A 26802-nucleotide genomic window follows, 5' to 3' on the forward strand; every position below is an offset into this window, starting at 1 on the left:
GCCTGGGAAGCCACTTTACCATGGCTTAATTTATAGGCCCTGAGCTGTAGCCCCAGTCCCCTTTGACATCACCCATTTTCCAATGGAGGAAGCTTCCAGGGAGACAGGGTACCACTTGGAGAGCCCCCATGGCCACTTCAGATTGCAGCCATTGCCACTTCATCTCACCTGAGGTGCTGAGGGGAGAGTCTAGGTAAGTGACAAAAGGAGCAGTGGCTTGGAAGGTCTGTGCACCTGTATTTAGGAGGTGAAGAAGAGGGAGCAGCTTTCTAGTAGGATGGTGGGCCTTTTGATAGAAGCATCTCCCAGGGACTCTTTTTGAACCTGCTGTGCAGCCTTGCAGGTAAACGACGGCCCATTGGAGCCTCTCAACCTGGAGATGCTGCATGGCAGCCACGAGGAGGCACCCGTGAACCCAGAATGAATTTCAGGGTCCGCTCTGAGTCCAAAAGGCAGGAGGGCCCTGGCCAACTAACACCTAACTGAGCCACAGACTCTGGCCTGTTTATCCTCCACCCTCAAAACCAGCAGGCTTCTCTGACCCTTTTTGGACTTTGGCTGGGGAAGCCACTGGCTTTTGGAAAAAGTTCAGTCTGCAGTGATGGCGGGAACAATCTCAGGAGTCTGGAAGAAGTTAATGATTAAAAAGGCATGGAAGAAGAACTGGATGGCGGCTTGGGGAGTAGTTTCTGCAGTCAGGAGGCACCCTTCACCTCATTCCCTTGGCCCACAGTCATCTGTGCATGCGTCTGCCCCTCCCTCCATCAGTGGAGCTCCCTCTGAGCTGCGTACTCGAGGGTGGAGGAGAGTTTGGGGGAACTCAAACATGTGGTAGTAGAGACTGTAGTAACTTTAAAATTCTCTTTGTATTTGCAGAATCATTTCCCCAATTTACACACTCATGTTTCAGTTTACAGGGCATCCTTTTGTCACCTGCTCGCCACCCTTATGCCCCTGGGTGTGACCAGCTTCCTCAGAAAGAGCTGTAATCAATAGCATATTGATTAAAAAGCATATTAAGATGAAAATTATTGCACCTGGTTTTGATGCCCCCACTCTCTCCCCTTTCCTCCTCCACTTCTGTTTGTGGTTACAGCCATCATTTACATTAAAGTTACAAATCATTTTGAATACTATTTGTCCCACCCCTCAGTTATTCAGAGACATGTGTCTTTTCAACCAACAAAACCACAGCTTGCTTTCCTAAGCTTACCTCATTCTTGGATCTAACACCAACCTTCAGGCCTTCAGAGATCCAGCAGTATCATTTTGAGCTTTTAACCGTAAAATAAAATGAAGCTCTTACTTGCTGTTTGTTCTCTGCAGACATAGGAGAATCTAGTTAGAATTAAACATTTACTGTCTTGTTAAGGCTTTATGCTTCTAAAATGAAAGTGGCAGTTGGATTACCGTAAAGTTAGTAAAGTTGTAGAACAAATTTTTGGAAGCTCAGAAATAATAATGGAGGGACTTACAGAAATAAACTATTAAGCTTAAATCTTAAAACATAGATATAAATATGAACTATCTTGAAAGTATAGAAAATTTGGCAAGTATAGATTAATAAGTATATAATATTTTATGCAAGTTATATTAATTATTAGGATCATGCATTATGTTTATACAGTACCTTACTATATAAAAAAGCAACTTTGTCCATATCTCATTTGATTCAATAAGCCTGCGATCTGCTTAGAGATGGGGAGATGGGACCTTGGGATGGTTAAAAGGCTTCCTCTAGAATTCAGATCTCATAAGCAGAGAAATACTATGTAAACCTGGATATCCCTGCCCACGTTGCTTGATAACCAAATGTGGTTACATAGTTTTTTGAAAATTGTAGGTGGTCCTATTCTTAGGGATAAAAATAGGCATTGGTTTTCTCTAAAACTTTCTGCAAGTCAAACAAACAAACAAAAACTCTGTATGTAGCACCCAGAAACCTGAAAGGACTTCTCAAGGTTTGTAGATGTCAGAGGTTCTCTGTTGATGACTTCCTAATACTAGAGTACCTGAGTTGGTTGTGTATTCAGCACAGTGCAGTGATTGAGTGTGTACATTCAGAGGCCAAACTGACTTTAAACCCTGGCTCTACCATTACTAGCAATGTACCCTTGAACAAGTTACTTCTCTGTGCCAGTTTCCTTATTTGTAAAATTTGGGTGGTGATAATAATACCTACTTCATGGTACTGTTGTGAAACTGAAATATAATAATACATGATGAGGGCTTAGAAAAGCACCTACCACATGGTACATGCTTTAAAAATGTTAGCTGCTATTCCTATTCATTTGTTTCTTAAAATTACCTTTTAGGCGCCAACTGACTGCACTGAGATGATGGATACAGGATAATAGTCTCTGTCCTCATGGAACAGAGGACATTATATTTCAGTTTGTGGTGAAGGACATGAATGGCGGTGCAGATCGATTTCCAGGCACTTGCTCACTTACAGCCATGAGAGGCTGTGAAGGGGCTGACCATGGGGTGGTGACCTTGCCAGCTCTTTGAAACAGGCACTCATTTTGACTCATCTGTGTCTGACACATGCTGGTTGTTTTAACTGTCACTCTTGGCCACAGGTTGTTAGTGGGAAGCATGATAAGAGATCCTAGATCTGTTTAGTCACCTGGTTTTGCCAACACTATTTTTGGTCCTGGTTGACAGAATGCTGCCCTGGCTACTATTTTGGACTGGACTGGCTCTTCAGCAGCCCCAGAAACCTTTGGTACTATCAGAGACCCAGTTCTCTGAGCAAGAAATGGCACAGCTGCTCCTGAGAGCAGGTAGGGGACTAGCCAGAGGCAGGAAGCCAGAACACTGCATTTCCTGTGTCTGCCGTAGCTAGAAACTTCTTGACCCAAAGAAACTATGTTGACGGGCATGGGTTTCCTAACTGGTGCTGGAAAGAGAGGACCTTCCTCCTCAGACCTCGCTTTGCTTGCTCTGTGCGTCCTACAGAGAGGCTCCAGCATGGCAGCCTGCCCGACTAGCACCTGCCATCACGGAGCTGGCACGGCCTCCAGCAATGGGCTGTCGACCAGAAAATCCTTCTGTGATTGCTGCTTCAGGAACTCGAGTGCTTCTCTGCCTCGTTTGAGCGTGATTAGCCCAGCTTGTACTCAACATACACTGGAATACTTCATACCGATAAGTCAGCAGTCAGACTGGAAAACCAGTCATCAGTTATCTTAGTGGCAACCAGCTTATTTTTATTTACTTTAAACTATGGTTGACCCTTGAACAACTCAGGGGTTAGGAGCACTGATTCCCCCCACCATGGCCCCCCACAGTTGAAAATCCAAGTATAACTTTTAAATCCCCAATATTGTAACTATACATAGCCTACTGTTAGCCAGAAGCCTTACTGATAATGCAGTCAGTTAACACATATTTTGTATGTTGTATGTATTATATGCTGTATTCTCACAATAAGCTAGAGAAATGAAAATGTTATTAAGAAAATCATAAGGAAGAGAAAACATTTCCTATTCGTTAAGTGGAAGTGGATCATCATAAAGGTTTTATCCTCATTGTCTTCACATTGAGTAGGCTGAGAAGGAGGAAGAGGAGGGGTTGGTCTTGCTGTCTCAGGGGTGGCAGAGGCGGAAGAGAACCTACGTGTAAGTCGACCTGCTCAGTTCAAATCCGTGTTGTTCAAGGGTAGACCTATGTCCTGGAAATTTTAAATGAAGTTTTGTCTTAAAAAAAAAAAAAAAACCTTGCCCCACACTTGTAAAACAAAGAAACAGCAAATAATGCCAACCTTTTGTATGTAGGGAGAATTAAGGTAAAAGGGGGAAAACCCTTTCTCTGTTTTACAAATGGCTCCCCAGGTGCTCTGACTTCTCTGGTCATGATCATCTCTTGATTTCCCAGACTGGAACCTCTTTTGTCGCCAGTGTGTCTGTCTCCGTTGCAGTCCCTAATGGAAACACAGACCTGAAAAATCAAAGCTTGGGCATTTATGGTCGAAGGTCATGGCATGGATGGTTGATTTTTTTTGGCTCTGTCTTCAAAGTGAAAAATCACTGTCTTCTTTGAGAAAGAAAGTATATTTTGGGAGGTGGCTAACGTCAGCAGGCAGGAAGATCTAAGCAAGCCTGTCTCATCCTCGGTTCACATAATTTCTAGCATTGCTAAGTTAGCAGCATATGATTTTTTTTCTCTTGTGCATCTTGCTCTAATGACTGCTGATTATCTTGAAACAGCTGCATTAATTGATGGTGTTTAACGACTCTACTTACACTAAGTAATTGCAGTTGGCTTGGCTGAGGATCCCGAGTTCTTTTTACTTGCTTTTTAGCTTGAGAAGTGTTTATTTACTCTGTGTGCCAAATGCCCGAAGGGGAGTTGGGAATGCCTCACCTCAGTGCCAGCCCACTGCCCAATGCTCACACTCTCCTGGGACATCATCATGTGCCACCACAGCATCCATTCCCTGTGTATTCTGATTGTCTGCTCATGGGCCTCTCTTCCAGCTTGATAGGGAGCCCCTAGAAAGCAGGGACCATACCCAGCTCATCTGTAAAGCTTTGGCCTTTAGCACAAGGACTGGCATGAAACAGGCCTCAATAAAAGTTGGGTGAATGAATGATGAGTGGTTGCAAAGCATATCAGTTATGAATGTGTCTGGCTGAAAGTAGCAGAAAGCCCTGGCTTAGTGGCTTAAGTAAATAGGGGTTTGTTTATCTTATGTAACAAAATGCGTGAAGATAGGTGATTGCTGGTGTTGGTTTCAGCAGCTGACATCTGTCTGTACTGACACTTGTGTTACTCTCTTGGCCTTTCCTTCATGATGGCAAAAAACACCAGCAAACCAGATGTCCCCTGACATTTCATGGCCAGAACTGTATCACATGGGTTGCCCCCAGTTAAACGGGCCATGTGAGTGTGTAGTGGGGCACACTGAGGAAGGCTCACTGCTTAAACAAAGTATGTTTAATGGTTCAAATATGGTAGGCATTCACTTTTTGCTCACACACAGTCCAAAATGGCTGTTTCTGCTTGGGGCTTTCCTCCAAGAGGATATTCAGGGACTCAGGCTCTCAAGGCTGCCATGCTCCTTTGCCTCACTCAGCTGAAGAGGAAGGAACATGGAGGATGGTGTGTGGGAGGATTTTGTGGGCCAGGCTCAGAGGTGCTGAACTACTGGCCCTGACATTCCACTGGCCAGGGCTCAGTCGTGTGAGCATACCTTCCAAGGGGAGGAAATGTGGTCCAGCCACATGCCCAGGAGGGAAAGGAGATGGGTATCACAATTAGCTGGCAGTCTCTGCTACACTGTCTGCCCCCTCCTCCCCCCAAAAATCAGGATTCTCTTAACAAGAAAGAATGAGTGGATATTGAGGGGCTAGTGGGGGTGTTTTCTTTAGAAGGAAATGCTGTGCTAAGAAGGCTCCAGCCAAAAGTCGTCTTCATCCCCAGGAGATCATCTGTTCTGAATCCCTGCTTCTGTTCCTACCTTTGGGAACTGGGCCAGATGACTCAGTAGGACAGTGGGAGGCCCTCATTATCCCCCTGTCTTGACACAGGACATGTTCTTAACAGCTTTGTGGGAATGTGTCCTAGTTGATTCACATCAGCAGTTGGAGGTTACCCCAGAGGAAGTGGTCTTTAGTCCCCCAAGGCCAGAGGAACCTATGAGAGCTCCCTGTTTTCAAGTGCCCCTGCCCACTCAACCTTCCAAAGCTTCTCTTCCTCTCCAGCCCCCACCCCAACCCACATCTGGAGGGGAGGAGAGGACACAACAAAGAGTAACCTGATTCCCCTCTAATTCATTAAAAAGTGTTTTCCCACTACTTCCTGCTAGTTTTCCTCAGTAATAATTGATGAGTGGTATATTGATATACTGGGCTGTAGTGCTTTATTCTTGTTTAGTTTGTCGTAGGTTTCTGTGATGGGGCTATTCCGTCCGCAGCATTCTTCCTGGTGCTCACCCTTCCTTTTTCCCACCCTCCCTCCCTTCCCCTACACACCTGTTGAGCACCTGCTGCTTGCTCTGCTGTCTCTCCACCCAGCCCTGGGGAAGGTGGGCAAGGAAGCTGACATGAGTCTGTCGTGTTGATGAGTAGAGTGGGAGGGGTAGGCTCTGAGGGCTGTGGTTGCCCAGTATTGGAAGATGTCACCCAGCCTTGGGGTCAGGGAAGGCTTCCAGGGGAAGGTGGTGCTTAAGCTGAGTTTAAGGATAAGCAGGAGTTAACCAGGTCAAGAAGACATCTGGGCCAAGAGAGTGGAATGGGCACAGACATTGAGTTATGAAAAGGGGGAACAGCAAGTCGACTGTGCCAGAGTCGTGCGAGATGGTGTGGCCATTCACCCGTCCAACACTGCTGTGCCATGGGGCCTGGCCTTACAGGGTTTGCAGAAAAGGACCAGCCCCCATGGAACTCATGGGCTGGCTGTGAGAGGGGATGAGTCTGCAGAGGAGTTTGGGCCAGAATCTGAGGAGGGCTTGGCTGCTGTCCCAGACTCTGCTCTAAAGGGTCTGCTGCTGGAGGCTGAGTAGGAGAGGGGCCCCATCACTTGTGCCGTCACGTCTTGTGCCCTGTCCCTCTGTGTCTGATTCTTGACTGGTCCTTTGCCCGGGCATTACTCAGGCTATAAAAATAGAGGCTGGCACCAGAACTCCAGCATGTAGTTGGTGAAGAAAGCTGAAGCTGTCATTACATATCAAGATACTTGCCAGGGAGATTTTTGATGGAGCACTTTCTTGGAGCCCAGAGGATGAAGTTCTAAAGTTGGCTTATAGTTTTTTTCTCCCTTGGACTTATACCAATGCTTCTGGCTACTCACTTGGAATATGTACTGGTTGTGCTTGTTACTCACCCCCGCCCCAGGCTCATACATGCCCTCGAGGACACATTGAAATGAACGCTCAATCCTGAAATCCACCAAATGAGGGCTCGCCTTGCCACAGACTGGCCTGATTAGAGGGGCTGAGTCCTCTCCATGGGGCCCGCTGGAGGCTGGTGTGCAGTCCATCAGGTGTTCATGTCCCATATAAGGCAGGACACCCTGGCCCGAAAAAGGAACTTTCAGCACTGCCTGAGAAGGTAAGGGTTCTGATAACTGTGCTTTCTTTCCCTAAGGAAAAGAGGGCTGAGCCAGGGTTTAGCAAAGCTGTCAGCTGCCTTGATTGTGATGAATGGTTCCAAGGGTGATTTCCTTCGTTCTCCCTCCCAGCCCTGTTTATTAAGGTGGACTGGAGACAGTGCTGGGGGGTGGGGTACAGAGAGATGAACCATCATGCTAGTCTAAGCCAAGGGCTGAATGAACTGCACTTTGCTTCAAGCTGGGTTAATCTGTATTTGTAGACAGAGACTGAATAGTTTGATGCTGTTTTTTGGGTGCCTTCTTGGTCCAAGTGCTGCAGGGAATGCAAATAATAATGAGAACGAAATCATGACTGTCTTATGTTTTCCAGGATGGATCTCATCTAATCCCCTCCATGCCCCCTGAGGCAGGCAGCAATATTACACTCCACTAGAATAGAAGCTCCATGAGGGCAGGAATTTGGGGCTGGTTTGGTCACTTCGAATCCCCAGCTTCTATAACTATCCTTGGCATAGAGCAGATGCTCAGTAAATATCTGAATGAATGAATGAATGAATTACTACTTGCAGGTGAGGACACTGCAGCTCAGAGAGATTAAATACCTTGCCCGAGCTGTTAGGTGGTGGAGTAAAAGGCCTGGTCTCAGTGCCAGGGAGGGACCATGAGCTGTGACTTGGGGACCCCAACTCTACTGCCCCTGGAATGAGAGCTACTTCTAGGATAGCAGTGTAGGAGGGCCAGAGCCTGCCTGGCCTGGTCTACTGAACACAGCACAATCTTGGAAAAACCCACCAGTTGTATGATGATACAGCCACAAGGACCCAGGAGGTTGGAGGGTGTCTTCCTGCTGCCAGCGCCATGATGTAACTCAGAGGTGGGGTGATATGCAGGCTGTATCTATCAGCAGCTTGAGAGTGACATTTCAAGAATACCACCTTCATCCAGTCAGGCGTATGCTGAGAAACTTTCAGTGGCTCCCTACTCCTACGGGAACCCAGTCTGGCTCCAGCCCTCCTCCACCCTGTTCACTGATGACTCACTGCATAAGGCCTGTCATCCACGGTACGGTGACATAGGGGTGGGCTTTGCAGCCTGCCTCTGTACCATTTATCCTCACATCAGGCACGCCCACTGACATCCTCCCTGCCTTTTAGTTTAGCACAGTTTCCGCCTCTTTCACGCAGCCCTCTCGCTGATCATCCCAGCACAGTCCCCCACCCCTCGGGTGCCTGTAGCCTTTGTCTGTCTGTACGGTGCATTTCCTAAGGATGTTCTTGGAACTCTGGGTTCGGCAGGTGGATGGAGCTGCTGCTAAGTGGGGCACGAGGCCCCTCCCAGTCCACCTAAGCACCTCCACTGCTACCTGAATTCCACATCAGATTCCATGTTGTGATGAGTGTTGAAAGAGGATACTGTTTGAAAACCACTGGTCTCTATAATTTATCATGTGCCTGCCTTGTGAGATACTGCTTAACTGCATTGTTTAAAAATAATTTAAATATGTTTTACAGTACTCCTTTTTTCTGATTTTTAGAAGTAATACAAGTTTGTTTAAGAAAATTTAGAAAATGCAGAAATATATGCGAGCAAATAAGCCTGCCAGGATTCCTACTTACTTAAGGAATAGTGAGCCAGTCTTCTGTCTTGTAATTTGTTTGTTTTAAAGAAAATTGAGATTACTTGTCAGTACAGCTATAACCACTCATAATATTTAGGACATATTCTCTCCTTTTAATGTTTTTCCTTTTTAAAAAAAAATTGTTACTTTTACAAATAGCAATTATTTAAATTCATTTTTTAAAATAGCACAGGTTCAAATTCTAAAGTGTACAATGAAAAGTCTTGCTCCTACACCTGCTTCAAGCCATTCAGCCCAGCCTGTACATTCTATATTGTAGCTTGTCTTTTTGACTTAACAATATAACGTTTCCCTCTGTCATTACTCACCTTTTTTTTTTGTTATTTGCACCCAACATACTATAAAATCAAAGCATTAAAATATGTGAGTAAATATTGGAAAGTTCTTCCTACTTCACAATAGAGATCACACTGTTAATTTCAGCAGCCATCTCCCGCTAGACCTTTTTCGGTAAATTTATGTTTTCCGAAAATTTACATATATATGTTGGGATATGCTAGCGTTGGTTTTACCTAAGTGAGATTACACTGTATCTAGTATGCTGCTACTTTTGTTTTCTGTCTTTTGTTTTTAACTTGGCGATATTTCTTGGAGGTTTGTCTGTCCACACCTAAGCCCACTTCTTTCTTTTTTTAAGGCTGAATCGTGTTCCATTGTTTGGACAAACTGTGATTTTCCAACTGTTTCCCTATGGATGAACATTTCAGTCATTTTCACATTTTTATAATGACTCCTAATGCTGCTTTGTACATAGGCGGTAACACTTTTGTAGGATAGAAACCTGAAATACAAATTCTTGGGGCAAAAGATGTGCATGTTTATTGTTTTGGTGGAGACCACCATTTCCCCTTCACAGATACTATTCTAATTAATCCTCTCACCAGCAGTGTATGAAAGAACTCATCCCCCTGAGACTAACTAACATTCATGATAGGTGAGAGGTGAATTTTTTTGGCCAATCTGAAAGGTAAGAAATGCCACTAACTCCCTTTTTTTTTTTTTTTTTTTTTTGAGACAGAGTTTTGCACTTTCATGCAGGCTGGAGTGAAGTGGCGCAATCTTGGTTCACTGCATCCTCTGTCCCCCAGGTTCAAGCAATTCTCCTGCCTCAGCCTCCCAGGTAGCTGAGATTATAGGTGCCCGCCACCATGCCCAGCTAATTTTTGTATTTTTAGTAGAGACAGGGGTCTCTACTAAATATAGCTTTGTCATGTTGGCCAGGCTGGTCTCGAACTCCTGACCTCAGGTAATCCACACGCCTTGGCCTCCCAAAGTGCTATGATTATAGGCATGAGCCACCCACACCTGGCTGCCAGCTCATTTTTAAATGTATATTTCTTTCCATCCTGGTTTTCCAAACATATGCATAACTATACATATTGATTAGAATCGTGCCATGCCTTGTTCTCTGTCCTTTTTTCCTTTCACATTAGGTCAGGGACGTTTTCTCTGTTCATTGCATTCTCTCCAAAAGCTCAGTTGTTCAGGGTTGCTGGCCTGTTGAGCTATTGCAGATCACCTGGAGTGTTTTTTATTTTAGTTTATTTGTGTCTTTGATCTTCAAAGATCCTGGGAATGACAAGTCATAGAAAAGAAAGGAGAAGAAACACCTCCTGCAGAGAATTGGCACAAGGAGTGTCCAGTAGACAAGAACCAAATGAAAATCAGAATTAGATATTTGCTCACGGGCTCATCTCTTAGGTATTTGGCGGAGAGGTCCCTAAAATATCACCATGAGCTCTTGTTATATATGGATATTGTATACTCTGTGTTATATGTTAAGCTTGACCTGTTCCGTGCATTCTGCTATGAAAAGTACACAGCTTTGCTGTTGTTGTTTGGATAGAGAGATTATGATGTTTTCAGAGCATTTAATGTCAGTGGAAACATCCAGGAGTCAGTGTGGTATGATGGAAATAGCATTGAACTGGAAAGTCAGGAGAGCTGGCTTCAGACTCTAGTTCTTCCCCCGACTGACCGACTAAACCTGGAGAAGACACCTAGCCTTTTGGGTCGCCTGGGGTCTGCGTGGCAAGGATGACCTGGGTGTAATGGGTTTGGAAAGCTTGGTGGGGGGTAGGCTAGCAGTTAGAGGTCAATTCCAGCTTAGTATTAAAAGAGAGCTCTCTAAGAATTGGCACTTTCTAAGATGAGACTGGCTGTATGTTGCCAGTTTTCAGAAATGTTCTGACAGGCGGTCAGTCAGCTCTCTGCAAACACGCAGACACTACCCCTACTGTCATGTGGCTTAGGGTCAGTCGCAGGAGACAGCCAGCCACCCAGGAATTTCACCATGGTCATTTGATTACATAATGAATAGTGCTGAGAAGTGTCATGGAGGAGAAATACAGGGTAACTTGAGAGTGTGAGACAGGGTGCTAAACAAGGCGGGTGAGTTGAAGGGCAGCCTCTATGAGAAAGTGATCTTTGAGCTGGGATCCAGGGCATGGTCAGCAGTCAACAAGGTGAGAAAGTGGAGGCACAGAAGAGAGGCAGCATGCTGGCTGGAGGCAGGTTGGGGGATTGCTACTGGCTGTAGTGAGTCCTCCATTCATTAATCTCTTCATTCATACATTCATTCACTCTCTCAACAAATATTGGTTAAGCACCTGCTCTGGACCAGGCAGTGTTCTTGGCCCTGGGGATACATGTATAGGGAGCAAGACTGACAAAGTTCCCAGCCTTGTGGAGCTCAGTGTTGCCACATAGTAAATCATTCCCAAACTTGGTGCCTTAAAACAGCCGTCATTTTACACTTATCCTCATAGTCTGGAGGTAGACCAGGCCCAGCTGGCTGTTTCTCATACATGTGTCTCACACAGTTATTCAGGCAATAACTGGTCTCATTCTCTGTGTTTTTGAGCACTTCAGCCTTGGCTTCCAACCCACTACCTGTCTCAGCTCACCAGAGTCCTCCCAAAAAGGCAGTCCAGTGGCGTTATGTGCTGGCTCCAGCATGCTCCTTGGGGTCTTACCTCCCTCCCCTGCCTCAGGCAGCTCCAAGAGTAACAGGTTTCTCCACCTCAGGTTCATTCTTGGGGAGCAGGAGTGATGCCCTTTTGACATTCCAGGCACCTGCCCAGCTGACCCAGGCCTGGAGTCCCCAGTGAGCAAGGCTCTTCTGTGGGGCTGAGAGATGTCTGGGTCTGGGAGAGGCATAATGTGAGGGCTTGAAGTGAGGCTGCACTGGTAGGTGGGGCCGTGGAGGCCATGGGCAGTATTTGGTTGACATCCATGGAGCATTATGGGAAACCACTAGAAGACCAGAGATCTGATGACTCCCTAATGGGAAGATTACAGAAGACAGTCCTTCTTGGAAAACAAGATTTTAAAATTAATCTGTTAGAATGATTTGTCTTATAAAACAAGGCTTTCAGGTATGTCCCTGAAATGCAAGTGTCCTCTAGGATTACTTGTCCTCTGGCTTAAAGAGAGGAAGCATAGATGTCCATCCTGATTCTATCAGTTATTATATCACAATCAGTGATATGGCAATCTGTGGTTCATTATCACAGAGTTGGTGGGTAGAGTCAACTTTCTATAACCAAGACTTCACATTCTACAACAAACATTCCCACCACTGCAATTTCCTATAACACACAACAGTACCCAAGCAGTAACTCCATGCGCCTTGTAAGAGAACTACAAAAACAAACCTCTAAATAATACAGTATAGCTTTTTGCCCTATTTGAAAGACGTATTAAGTAAGAAACTCCATCTAGAAACTTGATTTTATTATGATAATACAGAATAAGTACTTGCTCAGTTAGCTGCAGTTTGTGGAAACTGGTGTGTAAACAAGGATCATGGCCACCCCCATTGCTTTTCATTCTCAAAATTACTTGTGTCAACCACTTTGGCTCCCAAATTTCTCATTAAGTTACATCAACCTGGAGTTGTGTGTTTCATTACAACTGTTAGCTGAGCTGAATCAAAGCTTCGGAGCTTTTAAGAGTTTTTGTTTTGTTTTTTTTTTTTTTTTTGAGATGGAGTCCCACTCTGTCACCCAGGCTGGAGTGCAGTGGCGCAATTTTGGCTCACTGCAACCTCTGCCTCCCAGGTTCAAGCAGTTCTCCTGCCTTAGCCTCCCAAGGAGCTGGAACTACAGGTGCCCGCCACCAAGCCCAGGTAATTTTTTGTGTGTGTGGCATTTTTAGTAGAGACAGGGTGTCACCATGTTGGTTAGGCTGGTCTCGAACTCCTGACCTCAAATGATCCACCTGCCCCGGCCTCAAAGTGCTGGGATTACAGGAGTGAGCCACTGAGCCTGGCCTCTTAAGAGTCTTATTACCTACTTTATTGGCAGGGAGCTGGGACTCGAGGCAGTTCAGATTTCCTCCAAAGCTAAATGTTGTAATTGTGGGTAACAGTGCTCTTAGCTCTATTTTTGCTCTACCTGTCACTTTATAAGTGCAAAGGAGCAATATGTGTGCGTGTGTGTATATATATATATATACACACACACACACGTATATATATACACACACGTATATATACACACGTGTATATATATACACACATGTATATATACACACACGTGTATATATACACACGTATATATACACACACGTATATATACACACGTGTATATATACACACGTATATATACACACACGTGTATATATACACACGTATATACACACACGTGTATATATACACACGTATATACACACACGTGTATATATACACACGTATATATATACACACACGTGTATATATACACACGTATATATATACACACACGTGTATATATACACACGTATATATATACACACACGTGTATATATACACACGTATATATATACACACGTATATATATATATGGAGAGAGAGACAGAGTGAGTGTGTGTGTGTGTGTGTGTGTTTTGAGAGCTTGTTTTGGGATCTGAGTCAGAGAATCCTTGGATCTCAGCACGTGGAGGGCTCCGAAAGGTCACCCACATCAGCCCCTCTGTAGCATCACCAGCAGTGGCTACACACACTTGGCCACCTCCATGGGCAGGAGGGCTCATTCTATACTGACACTGTCAACCTCCTACTAAGTGAGACAGCCGTGTTCTCAGATTTACTTCTAAGGATGTAAAGTTCATGCCCACTGGCACTGGCAGTGATAACAAGCTACAGGGCTCCTGGTGCCCCACTCCTCTTCATGAATGAGTCATAGAATCACCTGCCAGTGAGAACAGGGTCTTGCCAAAGCTCTGTAGGTAAGTGTGATCCCAGCCTAAAAAGGCCTCATTGGGCAAAACGCCTCTCAGTGGCATGCGTGAGTGCTCCTGTCCATGAGTCCATCCAGAGCAAAATCCCGTTCCTATATAATATTGTTAACACAGAAATGCAGGCCTTGATAACCTGTCCTTTCAGGTGTGCCTGATTTACATTGCACAGCTATGAGTCTCAGGACTTTGGAAGCTTTTTTTTTTTTTTTTTTTGCCTTTAAAAGTTTGACTTTTATCATTCAAGCCTTGATATTATGCCACTTGTACTTCCAGTCTTGCAGCCTGCCTGTTTAATCCTCTCGTGCTTTCTTTGACATTTTAAGAAACTTTCAATTGACACACTTTGCTTGCAAAATTTTTTTAAAAACAGCTATATTTTTAAAGTGGCTTTGCGGTGAGTAAATCATGCCAACTGCATGTTCTCCTGTCTTTGTTGAGGTACTTATAGCTTCTCGACATTCTAAAATAATAATGCCAGTCTCAGATGTAGCTACTTTGAAACTTAAGAAAGAGCAAAGCAGTAACGTTGGATGGAACACAGACTTGTCTATGTCAAAAAATAATAATAATAATAACTGAAGCGTACATAAAAGTGAAAATCCTGGCTTGATGAGTTAGTTATTTTAGTCTGTTCTGGCCCTGAGAAATGATCAGATGCCTTGACAAGTTTATCCTTTGTAGAGTTGGAAAAAAAATCTCAAAGGAGAGAGTGGTTAGAACATGTAGTTCACAAAGGAAAAAAAAAAGTTTACTATTTCAGGGATTTAAAAATACTAAATCTGCAGATTATCAGCCTCAAATCCTTTTAGGAAAGAAATGGTAGCTAAATAATTAATGCTGCATATTTTAAAAACATGTAAAATATGAAACAAAAGGTCTGTTAGTGGAAGACGTACAGTCAGTAGGCTGCAGGAGGCTGCTCTGCTGTTTGTCTCTGCTGAATTACACCTGAGCAAACCAGCACTGATGTTTTTAAACATATAATTATGACTGTATGTGTTTTGATTATTGGATCTGAAAAGTTGTGGTACTGTCATCAGATGATTGTGTTTAAAAATAATTTTTTAGAATAATTGTGCATGTTGTCACACCTTCTCCAGTTGTGAGTTGTCACAAACATCCCCTTGCTCACTTACTCCTAACAGAGCCCTGACTCTATTCAGGTCTCTGCCCATTCTATCCCTGCGTGGGCGTCTGCCAGGAGGTGCATCCTGATTGGTTCCACCCAGTCGTTGTATCCATTCCCAGTGTCAGTGATTGGTTTGAGTGTGGGCACATGACACACTTCAGCCAGTGAGATGCGATGGGCAGCCTGGGGGAGGGATTTCTGGAGAAGGCTTCTTTGCTTCCAGTAGAGATGAACAGAGTTATCCCTTCTGCCTTTGCCCATGGCTGAGTATGGCTGTGATGCCTGGCAGTGTGGCTGCCAGCTTGCGACCCTGAGAGAAGCCAGCCTAGTAAGAGGACAGACATGGAAAGCTCTTGGCTTCCCATTGATGCTTGGAGTTGCTGAATCAACTAGCCTTGGAGCTGCTGTCCTAATACTATGGTTTGTCATGTGAGAATGTGGATGAGTCTCTTTGCTTGCTAGGGTTTTCTGTTACCTGCAGCCAAGCCATCTTTATAGATACATGAATTATTTAAGATAAAACAAAAACTAAAGTGCAAAAAGAACAAAGGTGACCACAACAGTGTCTCATATCATATCTAAGAGTGGTATTCAGCCTGGTCAGTGACGAGGTTTTCTGCCTAATGCAGCTCATGAACGCCTGTGCACTTACTCATTACACCTCCAGAAGGGAGCCCCATGAAGAGTACCAGCGTTCTGCTAACAGCAAGTTCTAGATCGGAAATTGGTTTGTCTGCTTAAACAGAAGTGAAATAACAATGGATTAAAATGCTGTGAGATTAATTTCTCTCACCCAAAATGATTTGAGCTGGAAGGCAATCAAGGAATGGGTGGCCTTGCCCCTTGGGGTTATCTAGGGTCCTTCTCTGTCATCCACTAGGATGTTGCTTCCATCTGCATGGTGAAAGTTGCTCCTCATCATGCCAGTGTTTCAGAGCCTGGAATAGGAGAAGAAAAACGTCAGGATGGTCTGGGGCAGGCAGCTTCCTTTTGATCTGGAATGGCCATATTACGTCCAATCACGACTCATTGGAAGAACTTGACCACATCTCTACAACAGTTGCAAGGGAGTTTAGGAAATATTCTCTCTAGCTGGATGGTCATGTATCCAGCTAAAATCCAGAGGGTTCTGTTCATAAGAGGAAGGAAGGAATAGACACTTGGGGCAGTTAGAAGCATCTGCCACATAGTATGTCTGCTACAGTGAAGAAGAACGTGACAAGGACAGATTGCTGGGTACCACTCTGAATGTGAAGCAAGGGTTTCAGCCATGCAGGCCAGCCTCCCTGAGCAGCTTGGAGCCTTTTGCCCCTCGGACCTGCCCTGGCCTCTCTTCAGGTAAATGAAGGGGTTTGAACCAAATGATATTTAAAACCTCTTCAAACTCTGACTTTCTCTGGCATGGTCTAGTGGAGATTCTATTTCTAGAGTTGGGGAGAGGGAACAAAGACAAGGGAGAAGTAGGGTAAGTAGCTCACTTGTGGCTGGTGGGTATTAAAACCATCAGCAAAATCACTGCTAATACTTACTGAGAGCGTATCAGAGGCTAGGTACTGTACCATGTTCCTTACATATCTTAACCCCACGACTCCCTCCCTATACAACCTATGAAATGGGCTCAGAGATTGTTCTCACTTCATAGATGAGGAAACTGTGGCTCATTATCACGTAGAGCAGGGCTCTAGACCTAGCCAGCTGACCCCAGGCCCATGCATTTAACAGCCTATTGTGGGTATGACTGGGAAATGAGGTGGGATTTGTGGGGTGTGGCCAGATCATAACAGGTCCTTAAAGCAGGGCAAAGAACATTGAGTTTGGTGCTGCCCTTTATTCAGGGCCTGCTTCAGGATCAATCTGCAGCACTGATCAGCACACCCCCTGTGTTAGTCCATTTTGTGTTGTAAAGGAATACCCAAGACTGGGTAACTCATAAAGAAAAGAAATGTATTTAGTTCATGGTTATGCAGTCTGTAAGAAGCGTAGTGCCAACATCTGCTTCTGCTGAGGCCTCAGGAAGCTTACAATCATGGTGGAAGGCAAAGGGGGAGCCAGCGTATCACACGGTGAGAGCGGGAGCAAGAGAGAGAAAGAGGAGGTCCCAGGCTCCTTATAACCAGCTCTCACGTCAACTAACAGAGCTAGAGCTCACTCACCAGCAAGAGGACGGCACCAAACCATTCATGCGGGAACCACTGCCATGACCCAAACACCTCCCACTAGGCCCCACCTACACTGGGGATTACATGTCAACATGAGATTTGGAGGGGACACATATCCAAACCATAGCACCACCTCAGCTCCCCACTGGCTTCCCCACAGCCAAGAGGCGGGTGTTACCACTCTATATCACATCTGGGCATGACAGTGACGCAGGTCAAATCACCCCTCACCACCCTAGGGTAGAAGACAGGCTGTTTTTCAGGAGGAGACCCCCAGGTGAGAGAGGGTCTGTGGTGCGGCAAAGTGCAAAATGTTCCAGGGGAGCCACGCCTCATGACTATTAGATATCCTTCAATATGTTGCCCCTGCTGAGAGGGGCAGGGAGGCCTCTGGGCCTGTTCCTGTCCAGTATTCCCCAAGGAGGCCAGGTGTTGGGAGGAGATAGGACCCTGGCCCTAGAAAATAAGGGTAGGTTCATGAAGTGGGCCTGTCTTTCAAGCTGGCCTGCCTGGTGGTGTGGATCCTGCAATCAGACCCCTCTTCCCGCTCCATCCTGCAGCTCAGTCAGCTTAGTGCCCAGAGGGCACTCCAGGGAAGGAGTGAGAATCAGTGAGTGTGTTTTCTGGTCCCACTGATGGTAGGACACCTTGAGGTCAGTGGGGAAGCTGGCCTGGGTAGAGGGCTGTGGGTGCTGGGCCAGGCAAGCCCATCCCTTGGAGAAGCAGACCCAGACATGGCAGGGGCACCCCAGCTCCGCCTGTGTGGCCTCTGGGCAGCTGGCTTTCCCTAGGCACAACACTTCCCTGCATGTATCAGTGTTGGATGTATCATCCCCCTCTCTGGCTCCTTTCACAACCCAATACCTCCCCACCACCTTTAACACCATCCCTTGAGTTCATTCTGTTTTCCTAAAATTCAGTCACAGATGCACCAACACCAATCTGCTCTTCAAGATGGAGTTCTGGCATTGCCACTTCAGAAATCCAATCTGCCGTATCCTAGCCTGGATGCAGTCTTCTTTCCTCCTGACAGCACTGGTTTGATAGAGCCTAGTGATCTGTTTACTCCCTACTTCCCTCGCCAGACTCTACACTTCTGTTTTTAAAAAAACTTCTTGAAACTTTTCTAAAAAAAAAAAAACACCTTTAACTTCTGACATACACAGAAGCAGAGAGGAGCAGATAATGAACCCTCAAGGATCTGTCACCCTGCTTCAACTATTGTCACCATTTTGCCAATCTTATTTCATCTATTCCCCTCAACCTTTTTATCTCCTCTGGAATATATATATATCTAATATATATTAGATATGTATATTATATATAATATATAAATTATGAATATATATATAATTTTTATTTTTTGAGATGAAGTTTCTCTTTGTCACCCAGGCTGGAACGCAGTGGCGCAATCTCAGCTCACTGCAGCCTCCACCTCCGGGGCTCAAGCGATTCTCATGCCTCAGCCTCTTGAATATCTGGGATTACAAGTGTATACCACTATGCCCGACTAATTTTTTGTATTTTTAGTAAAGATGTGGTTTCGCTGTGTTGGCCAGGCTGGTCTTGAACTCCTGTCCTCAAGTGATCTGCCCGCCACGGCCTCCCAAAGTACTGGGATTACAGGCGTGAGCTACCACGCCCGGCCCCTCTGGAATATTTTAAAGCTAGTCCTAGGTCTTGTATCGTTTCTCCCATAAATACTTTAGTGCCTTTCAGCTGGGACCTTCCATATGACAAAAACTGTGTCCTGTATCCTGTGTCCTGTGTTCTTACCACTTAGAATAGTGCCTGGCACTTACTGGCTCTCAGGAAATGTTATTTTGAATTGACTGACTGAATGAATGAGTGCGTGAACTGGCTTCAGCTTTTAGAAATGAGCCTGCAAATTAAGTGGAGAACTCTGGAATGTGAATAACTGCTGTGAACTCACAGCCCCTTCATCCCAGGTGCCTTCCTGGGGTTTCCAGGAGGCTCTGGAATCTGCGCATCTTCATCAGACTTCAAGGTTGGTTTTTCTTGGGCAAGCATCTTTGATTTGGCAATTAAACTCCACTTTGACGTGACTTTGGAAAAGGGGAACTATTAAGATATAGCTTTTACCTTTGCTTGACTCATATTTTGTTCACAATTGCAGACTTGAAGGGTTTTTTTTTTTAATTGTAATGCTGTATTTACTTAGGCCAAAATAATTCTGACCAAAAAAATCAACGTGTAGAATACATCTGAAGCATTTTCTTTAATACTACCTTTCTATTCTTGGTAATGGTATTTTAACTGCACAAATGAAAGGTAATTGTACATTTTCTTTCTAGCAGTTGTGGTCATGTTTAAAACCCTAAATTCTGTACACTTTGAAGGACAGCCTGGACCAGAGTTTGTCACTAGATGTGGTGTTTTCAGCTCTTACAAGGTGAAAAATAGGCCAAGGCTTGGGCCCTGGAACTCTCTGGTGGTAGAACGGTAGCTTGTAAAAATGCCTTTGACGTGTTCTTTTTCTCCTTTTAATTCAGAAATGGTATTCTTCATAATGTAATGGGAACTGCTTATTAACTAGTACTATGTTTCAAAATTGTATTCTAAAATCTTTTCTTTCACAGCTCAGACTTGTAATAAGGTTGAATTGAGTTAGCTGGGTTTTCTGTTTTTTGTTTTGTTTTTGCTGTTTCATCAGGAATTCAGAGTAATAATTCAATTTCTAGGTTTCAGATATTTGTACCACGTGGGTTTAGCACAGGGGACTGCAGCTGTGCCCAACAGACATGTGATGACTGACAACTATTTTATGTTCAGCCTGGACATATAACAGTTGTTTACACAGAAGTATTTGTGGGAATTGGATTTGGTCATGATGCCATGTTGAGCCAAGAGCATCTTTTCCACAGAAGGTGATGGGACTTGAGAGATGTTTGGGGATTAGAAGATGTGGGAGCTGTAATCCCATAGCACCTCACCCTGCCGGTGAAGCAGGGACTCTTCCTGTGGATCTTATTTTTAGGACTGTGAGCAAGCAGGCTGTGGGGGTCCCGCTCTGGGCTCAGAATCCTGGCTGTCGCCTGGCATAGCTTGTATGAGTCTCACCAGATGTCTTGAGGAGCTGCTATAGACCCCAGGGGTAGGCGCAGAGCTCCTATGGAAAGAAGTGCAGGAAGATGGCAGGAAGGGAACCAAGGACTGTGTGACTTCTTGAGTGGCTGTAGGAGCCTCCTACCTACCTGGAGATGGAAAGGGGGAAAGGGAGCTCTGGAAAACTCAGGCTGGAGATTGAACCACAGTGCCAGAAAGAGCCAGTTGGCTGGTACCTCATCCTCTTGGAGTGGGGCCCAACAGAAGCTGAGGCAGATGTTCCAGGCTGGAAAACCTAGGGCAAGGCAGGGACACAACAGCTGAGTCAGCCCCCAGGAAGGCTCATGGTGGCAGAGGAGCCATGAACATGGTTGCAGACGTGGCTGCCTACCCTGATGGATGGGATGGGGCCAGTGAGTAGGGGAGGGGCCAGTGGCCAGGATTTGAAAGCAGAGCCACAGCATGGAGCAGAAGCAATAGTTCAAGGAAAAGGGCGACTCCTTGTGTTTAGATTGTGGTATAGGTGTCTGTGTGATTCTTCCGGAGTGTGGAAGTCAGACATAGTACATATCTGCTCGACCGCAGGGCTCTGCCTGTTGTGAGATTTGCTCCCCACCGCCACCTGCTCTTTTGTCTCTTATCCTCAGTCTTATTTAAAAAGCAGGATCCTGCAGCTCAGAGAGGTGGAGCCAGTTGTCAAGACACACAGAAAATAAGCAGCAGAGCTAGGAATTGAACACAGATCTGCCTATCTTTGGAGCCTCGTCCTTTACACCACATTAGGGCTCCTTTCAGTCTCTTCCACTGAAGTGTCCCCAGCAAAGAAACACCCACAGCAGCAGAACTACGCACTCCACTTCTCATGTTGGACACAGGCACGTGCACGTATACATACACACACACACACGTATGCGCGTGTGCGCACACACACACACCCCTACTCCTTGGGGTCCTAGCTTCAGCTGCAAACTTCTTCAAATCCATGTGAATTTTGGATTCTATCATCATTTAGCCATTTTAATAAACCAAGACTAAAGTATGATCATTATCTTCAAGTTTTCTAGTGAAATGGGCTCCAAAAGAAGGCATCCTGGGATTCGGTGTTCCTCTGGCCAGGCTGTGTACATACACCCCTAGGGCTGTGATCACACCAGACTACTCCCTAGCACAAGTAGAAATAATGGAAATGCTGACCATGCTAGAGGCTATCAGAGGAGAGCCAGAAGTGGGAGGGTGCAGACCCCAGAGAGTATCAAGGGGAAACGGTGGATGTTCCCACTGTTCAGCAAATGAAAAGTCACAGATTGGTAGAGATGTCAGCAGTGCAGACTAGAAGCAGTCAGGCAGTTACACGATCCCAGCCATCTGGTTAACCTAACGTATTTAAATCTAAAACTAAATATAGCTGTTTTCCCAAAAAGCACTCCGCATATTAAAGAACGTAGACAAGATGGAGATTTTCATGTCGTGCCTACAGATGAGGATATTGAGATCTAGATCCTGGCTTAGAATTTCCTGGTGAAGATTCAAGGCATTTCCCATTTATTGTATCAGTTAGCTTTTGCTTTGTATCAAGCAAACTGTCACCACAGTTTGTTTCAAGGGAGCCTCAGCAGGGACTGCTTACCTTGGCTCCATGTGGTCTCTCATGCACCAGCAGTCTGGCCTAGGGTCTTCACATGGTGGTCTCAGTGTTGGAAAAGTAGTAAAGGAAGACAAGCCCCAATGCATAAGTACTTTTCAAGTCCCTGCTTGTAACACATCTGCTATTGTCCCATGGCCAAAACAAGTTCCTTGGCCAAGCCAAAAGTCAATATAGGAAAAGACCGGGTAAGCCCATGGATACAAAGAGCATGAAAAAATTGGGGGCTGTTACTGCGACAATTTACCATGCTATAAAACTGAGACTTATAGCAAGTAGCCACTGTTTCCACCAAATGCCCACCTGAAGACAACTGTAAACCATACTGTGGCTAATCCCTTATGAAAAGGCAGTGTCAGCCGGGCACAGTGGCTCACACCTGTAATCCCAGCACTTTGGCAGGCAGATCACCTGAGATCAGGAGTTCGAGACCAGCCTGGCCAATGTGGTGAAACCCTGTCTCTACTAAAAGTACAAAAATTAGTCGGGTGTGTGGTGGCAGCCACCTGTAATCCCACCTACTCAGGAGGCTGAAGCAGGAGAATCACTTGAACCCAGGAGGCTGAGGTTGCAGTGATCCAAGATTGCACCACTGCACTCCAGCCTGGGCTACAAGAGCGAAACTCTGTCTCAAAAAAAAAAAAAAAAAAAAAAGAGAGAGAGAGAGAAAGAAAGAAGAAAATGCAGTGTCAAGTAAGACCATAGGAAACATACTTAGCTGTCCTACTGGCCTCTCCCACAAGTCAGGGAGAGGGAAATCCCTTAAGAGCATGGAAGCAGGAAGTAGTTGAGGGACAAGACATGACCCAGCAGCAGAAACAAGGCCCTCGCCTCCCACATGCAAACGCAGGGCAACCAGCAGGCAGGTCGGCCTCTGAGGTGATGACACAAAAGACACCATGTGGCATCAGAAACCGGGGGTGGATGATTCCCCAGGGCCAGCACAGTGGCTTCCCAGGCCCAGAGTGAGAGGCCTGAAGACAAGATTTGCACCAGAGCTGCAGAGGGAGGGATGTGCAGGAGAACATGTGTACGTGTAGTACTGAGCTTCGGGCACGGAGGCACTGACTCTCGGTTAGGGATAGTGACTCATGGGACAGAAGCGTTTCCCTCAAGCTCTTCCTTTCCATCTTGGGCATGGGAGAATGGCTCCCACAAGAAGGGTGGCAAGAAGAAGGGCCATTCCGCCATTAACAAGATGGTGACCTGAAAATACACCATCAATATTCACAAGCACATTCAAGAAGCATATTCAAGAAAGGGCTTCAAGAAGTGTGCCTCTCCAGCACTCAGAGAGATTGAAGGAGAGGGGGACTTCAGATGTGCACATTCATACCAGGTTCAACAAAGCTGTCTGGGCCAGAGGACTAAGGCACGTCCCATACCGTCATGCGCGGCTATCCAGGAAACGTAATGAGGATGAAGTTTCAACAAACAAGCTCTATATTTGGTTACCTATGTACCTGTTACCACATTCAAAAATCTGGTCAATGTGGATGAGAACTAACTGCTGATTGTCACATATGCCAAATAGAGTTACAAAACCACAAAATCAATAAATAAAATGAAATTGGGATCTGTTTGTTAACAGAGATGCTGGTTGCTGGACACACAGGCGCAATCGTAAGGTGCAAGTGTGTTTTCATCAATCTGTTAGCAAATGTTCTCTTTTGGTAGAAAGTCTGACAGGTCGCTTAAACAAGTGGGTTTTCAAAGTCACCTACTGGGCCCTTGGGGAGGAGGTGGTAGGCAAGGGGCTCTGGGAGTCTGGCTCCTGCTTCATTCCCAAAAGATGTGCTTTTCGTAGTACAGCTTATTGAGATAGGATTCACCCCAGGTGTACAGCTCAATGGCTATATTCAGTTATATTCACAGTTACACAGCCCTCACACATTAGCAGATGAGCTTTTATCTGATTTTGTCTGTCTGATCTCTGAAGAAGATTATATTTGAATGGGGAAAAGATTCAAGTTTGAAATTACCGTTACAATCTAACTGTAGTTTAAGAACCTTTTCTAAAGAGACTATGGTTTGCAAGTTCTCTTTAAAATCCCAAAGAGAACCAGGAAATAAACTTGACTTCTAAAACTGATAGGGTAGAAGTTATAGTAGTCATTCATTTTTTTTTTTTTTCCCACAGAAGGGACATTTAGGACCTTATTCAGCTTTTTTAAAAAGTCCTCTTGCACACTTCCAATGTGGTTAGGGGAATTTTGAATAGGCAGGACGAGGCTTCCAGAAGACCCATGGATACAGCTGAAACAGGCTTAGTGGTCCAGGATGAAGGGAGGTCTCAATTAGCAGATGGAGCTAGTCGGTGTAGGAGCAAATCCTTTTGCACACCCAGACCATCCCCCAAGGCATTGGGGGACATGTTGTGATGATTGTTGTTCAGATTAACAATTACAATTAAAGAATACCAAGATCATTTCAGCAGAATGTCCACCAAAAAACCTTGAAGATTTAAAGGTTAAAGGTCACAGCAAGATGAGTCCGTGTGAAGATTTCCCTTATTGTCCAGCACATTGTAAATACCCAATAAACATCCTTTGCGTTTTTCCTTGGGAAGGTCATGTCTGTAAAATATCTCATTCCTTGTTGATGTCAGATAAGGCATTCAGGAACTAGTTTTTGCTTACTAACTTGAAGGGAGCATTCTCGCTTGGGCTTATTTGGGGGCAAAGACTAATCATAGAGCATGCTGTTGTTCTCCAGCTAGAGATGCATGCTTCCCTGCCGGGGGACTGGGCTAATCAGATTATTATCAGTTGACAAGTTTGGTTATTTTCAGTTGACAAATTTAGTTCTCCACCTCTAAACACTCATTTATCACCTCTGCTTTATTCACAGGACATGTTCCCGATTTGAGGTGAAACCATGAAGAGAAAATAGAATACTTAATAATGCTTTTCCGCAACCGCTTCTTGCTGCTGCTGGCCCTGGCTGCGCTGCTGGCCTTTGTGAGCCTCAGCCTGCAGTTCTGTGAGTAGAGCCGGGCCCCGCAGGTCGTGGGAGGGTAGGGGCTTCATAGGAAACAAGGAGGCCCCAAAGGCTTGTTTTATAAATGAATGATGAGGCTGAAGACAACGAAGTCTTTTTATTGTTGGCACTCACAGTGGCCGGTTGCAAGGAGGGATCCTAAACCACCGAGCAGTGTTCTGTGTGCTCTTTTGACTTTTGCATGAATTCCTGAACTGCCTGGTTATTCCCAGATTTTTTGTTCAGATTCACCAGATGGAGACACTGAGTGGCCCTGCTTGACTTCTTATGCTGAACCACACAGAGCAGAGGTGTTTAGCCCTTTGATTGGGTCCTTGCAAGTTGGGTGTCTGTTTAGCCTTCAGTCAGCCGCGGGGCTGGAGTTGTTTCGGGGAGGGTGGGGAGATTAGGTCACCAGTATCAAACCCACCCCCCAGGCAGCAGGGGCTGCATGGGAAATCCCCTGTGACGAGACAGGAGGACTCTGATAAAGCCAGGCCATGGGCCTCACCATGCAGCATCCTCCACTGAGATTCCTAGGCTCAGGCCAGGCCCCAAATCTGTGCACACTACAGCTCACCTAAGAGTGGCTGTTCTCAGACACAGATCTGGCCCCAGGACCTCCTTAGTGGCAACACCTCAGTGGTGGCCCATGGTCTTCTGAGAGGCCCCTTGCCCTCCTGTGGCCCCTCTCTGCTGCTTCTGTGCTCAGATCCTGGTGCTCCTTTGCCAAGAGCGTTCTCCTCCTCACCCCCTCTCATTGTTTCCCTTTCAGCCCTTGCCCCTTCTCCTCTAGGACCCTTCCAGGAATACTTAAGGGTTTGGTGCTTCTTTTATATACATCAGGATGCCCTGAATCCTTGAACCTGTCTCCCTCCCTCCTTCCCTTCCTTCCTTCCCCCGTTTTTTTCTTGAAATAGGGTCTTAGTCTGTTGCCCAGGCTGGAGTGCAGTAGCACGATCACAGCTCATTGCAGACTCAACATCCGAGTTTAGGAGTTTAGGTAATCTTCCCACCTCAGCTTCCTGGATAGCTAGGACTGGAGGCGTGCACCACCACACCTAGCTAATTTTTTGTATTTTTATAGCGACAGGGCAGGGTTTCACCATGTTGCCCAGACTGGTCTCAAACTCCTGACCTCAAGTGAGAACATAGGTGTTACATAAGCATAAACCTGTGCATTATGGATTAGTGCCATTTTTTTCAGCACAATAATAAGCAACCAATAAAGCAATTAAATAAATGGAGCAATTAAACTCCATTTCTACAGAAATGGGGAAATTCCAAAGTCACAGTTTACCTAGAAGAAGAAGAGCAGTAAGAACATCAGCCTCCCTAAGTTCTGGTATTACAGGCGTGAGCCACCACGCCCGGCCCCCTCCTTTCACTAACCATGCACTAGTATAATTTTCAGTTCTTGTGTCTTTTCCTTCTACCAGATTGTCTGCTCGTTGAGAGCAGGACCACATCCTGTTTCTCTCTGTATCCCAGGAACCAGCACTGCCTAGCACGTAGTAATATTTTGTAAATGTCTGCTGAATGCATGAATCCATGCCTGCTCTAAAAAGCAGATGGAACCTTATTTTCTTTCCTTCTGTTGCTGTGTATTTGAAGCTGAGAAAACATCTGTGTGATGCCAGGAATTGTGTTGTTGCTGTCACCTGCCTTCTCTCCGTTTAACCACCTCATCCTGATGGGTGGGAGACAAGCAGTTGGCACCCACACCACCCAGGACAGCTGTGTGAGGAGGGGCATTTCTGTTGCAGTTTGAATGATGGAAAGAAGGGCAGGTGGCTCGGTAAGTGGGATGTTATGAGTACACAGAGGAACATGGGGAAGGCTTGGCTCTAGGAGGAGGTGGTTTCAAGAGAGGAGACTTTGAGGAAGTTTCTCTGATTCACTTCCAATTGTG

General features: G+C 45.5%; 1 protein-coding gene and 1 pseudogene across 27 annotated transcripts in view, besides 1 other annotated feature; both read left to right on the forward strand.

The window, feature by feature from the left end:
- Positions 1 to 26802, forward strand: part of PXYLP1 (2-phosphoxylose phosphatase 1) — a 63100-nt gene that overhangs the window by 3537 nt on the left and 32761 nt on the right. For 11 of the 27 annotated variants that reach the window (XM_047449230.1, XM_047449209.1, XM_047449214.1 and 8 more), the window contains one exon: positions 24762 to 24893. In XM_047449230.1, coding sequence (XP_047305186.1) covers positions 24815 to 24893 — 79 coding nt within the window. In that variant the 5' untranslated portion in view covers positions 24762 to 24814. Of the gene's footprint in view, positions 1 to 36; positions 2787 to 6894; positions 7056 to 24761; positions 24894 to 26504; positions 26689 to 26802 lie in introns of those variants that run through there. The other 16 variants (XM_047449223.1, XM_047449219.1, XM_047449224.1 and 13 more) reach the window with 7 other exon arrangements.
- Positions 23057 to 23418, forward strand: RPL31P21 (ribosomal protein L31 pseudogene 21; annotated as a pseudogene).
- Positions 24435 to 25179: an enhancer, noted in NCBI's record as "H3K4me1 hESC enhancer chr3:140978638-140979382 (GRCh37/hg19 assembly coordinates)". NCBI's record gives its function as "activates a minimal SCP1, AML or CMV promoter by ChIP-STARR-seq in naive H9 embryonic stem cells {active_cell/tissue: H9 hESC(naive)}" and the evidence as "EXISTENCE:reporter gene assay evidence [ECO:0000049][PMID:30033119]".

Source organism: Homo sapiens, chromosome 3 (assembly GCF_000001405.40).
Source record: "Homo sapiens chromosome 3, GRCh38.p14 Primary Assembly".
NCBI lineage: Eukaryota > Metazoa > Chordata > Mammalia > Primates > Hominidae > Homo > Homo sapiens.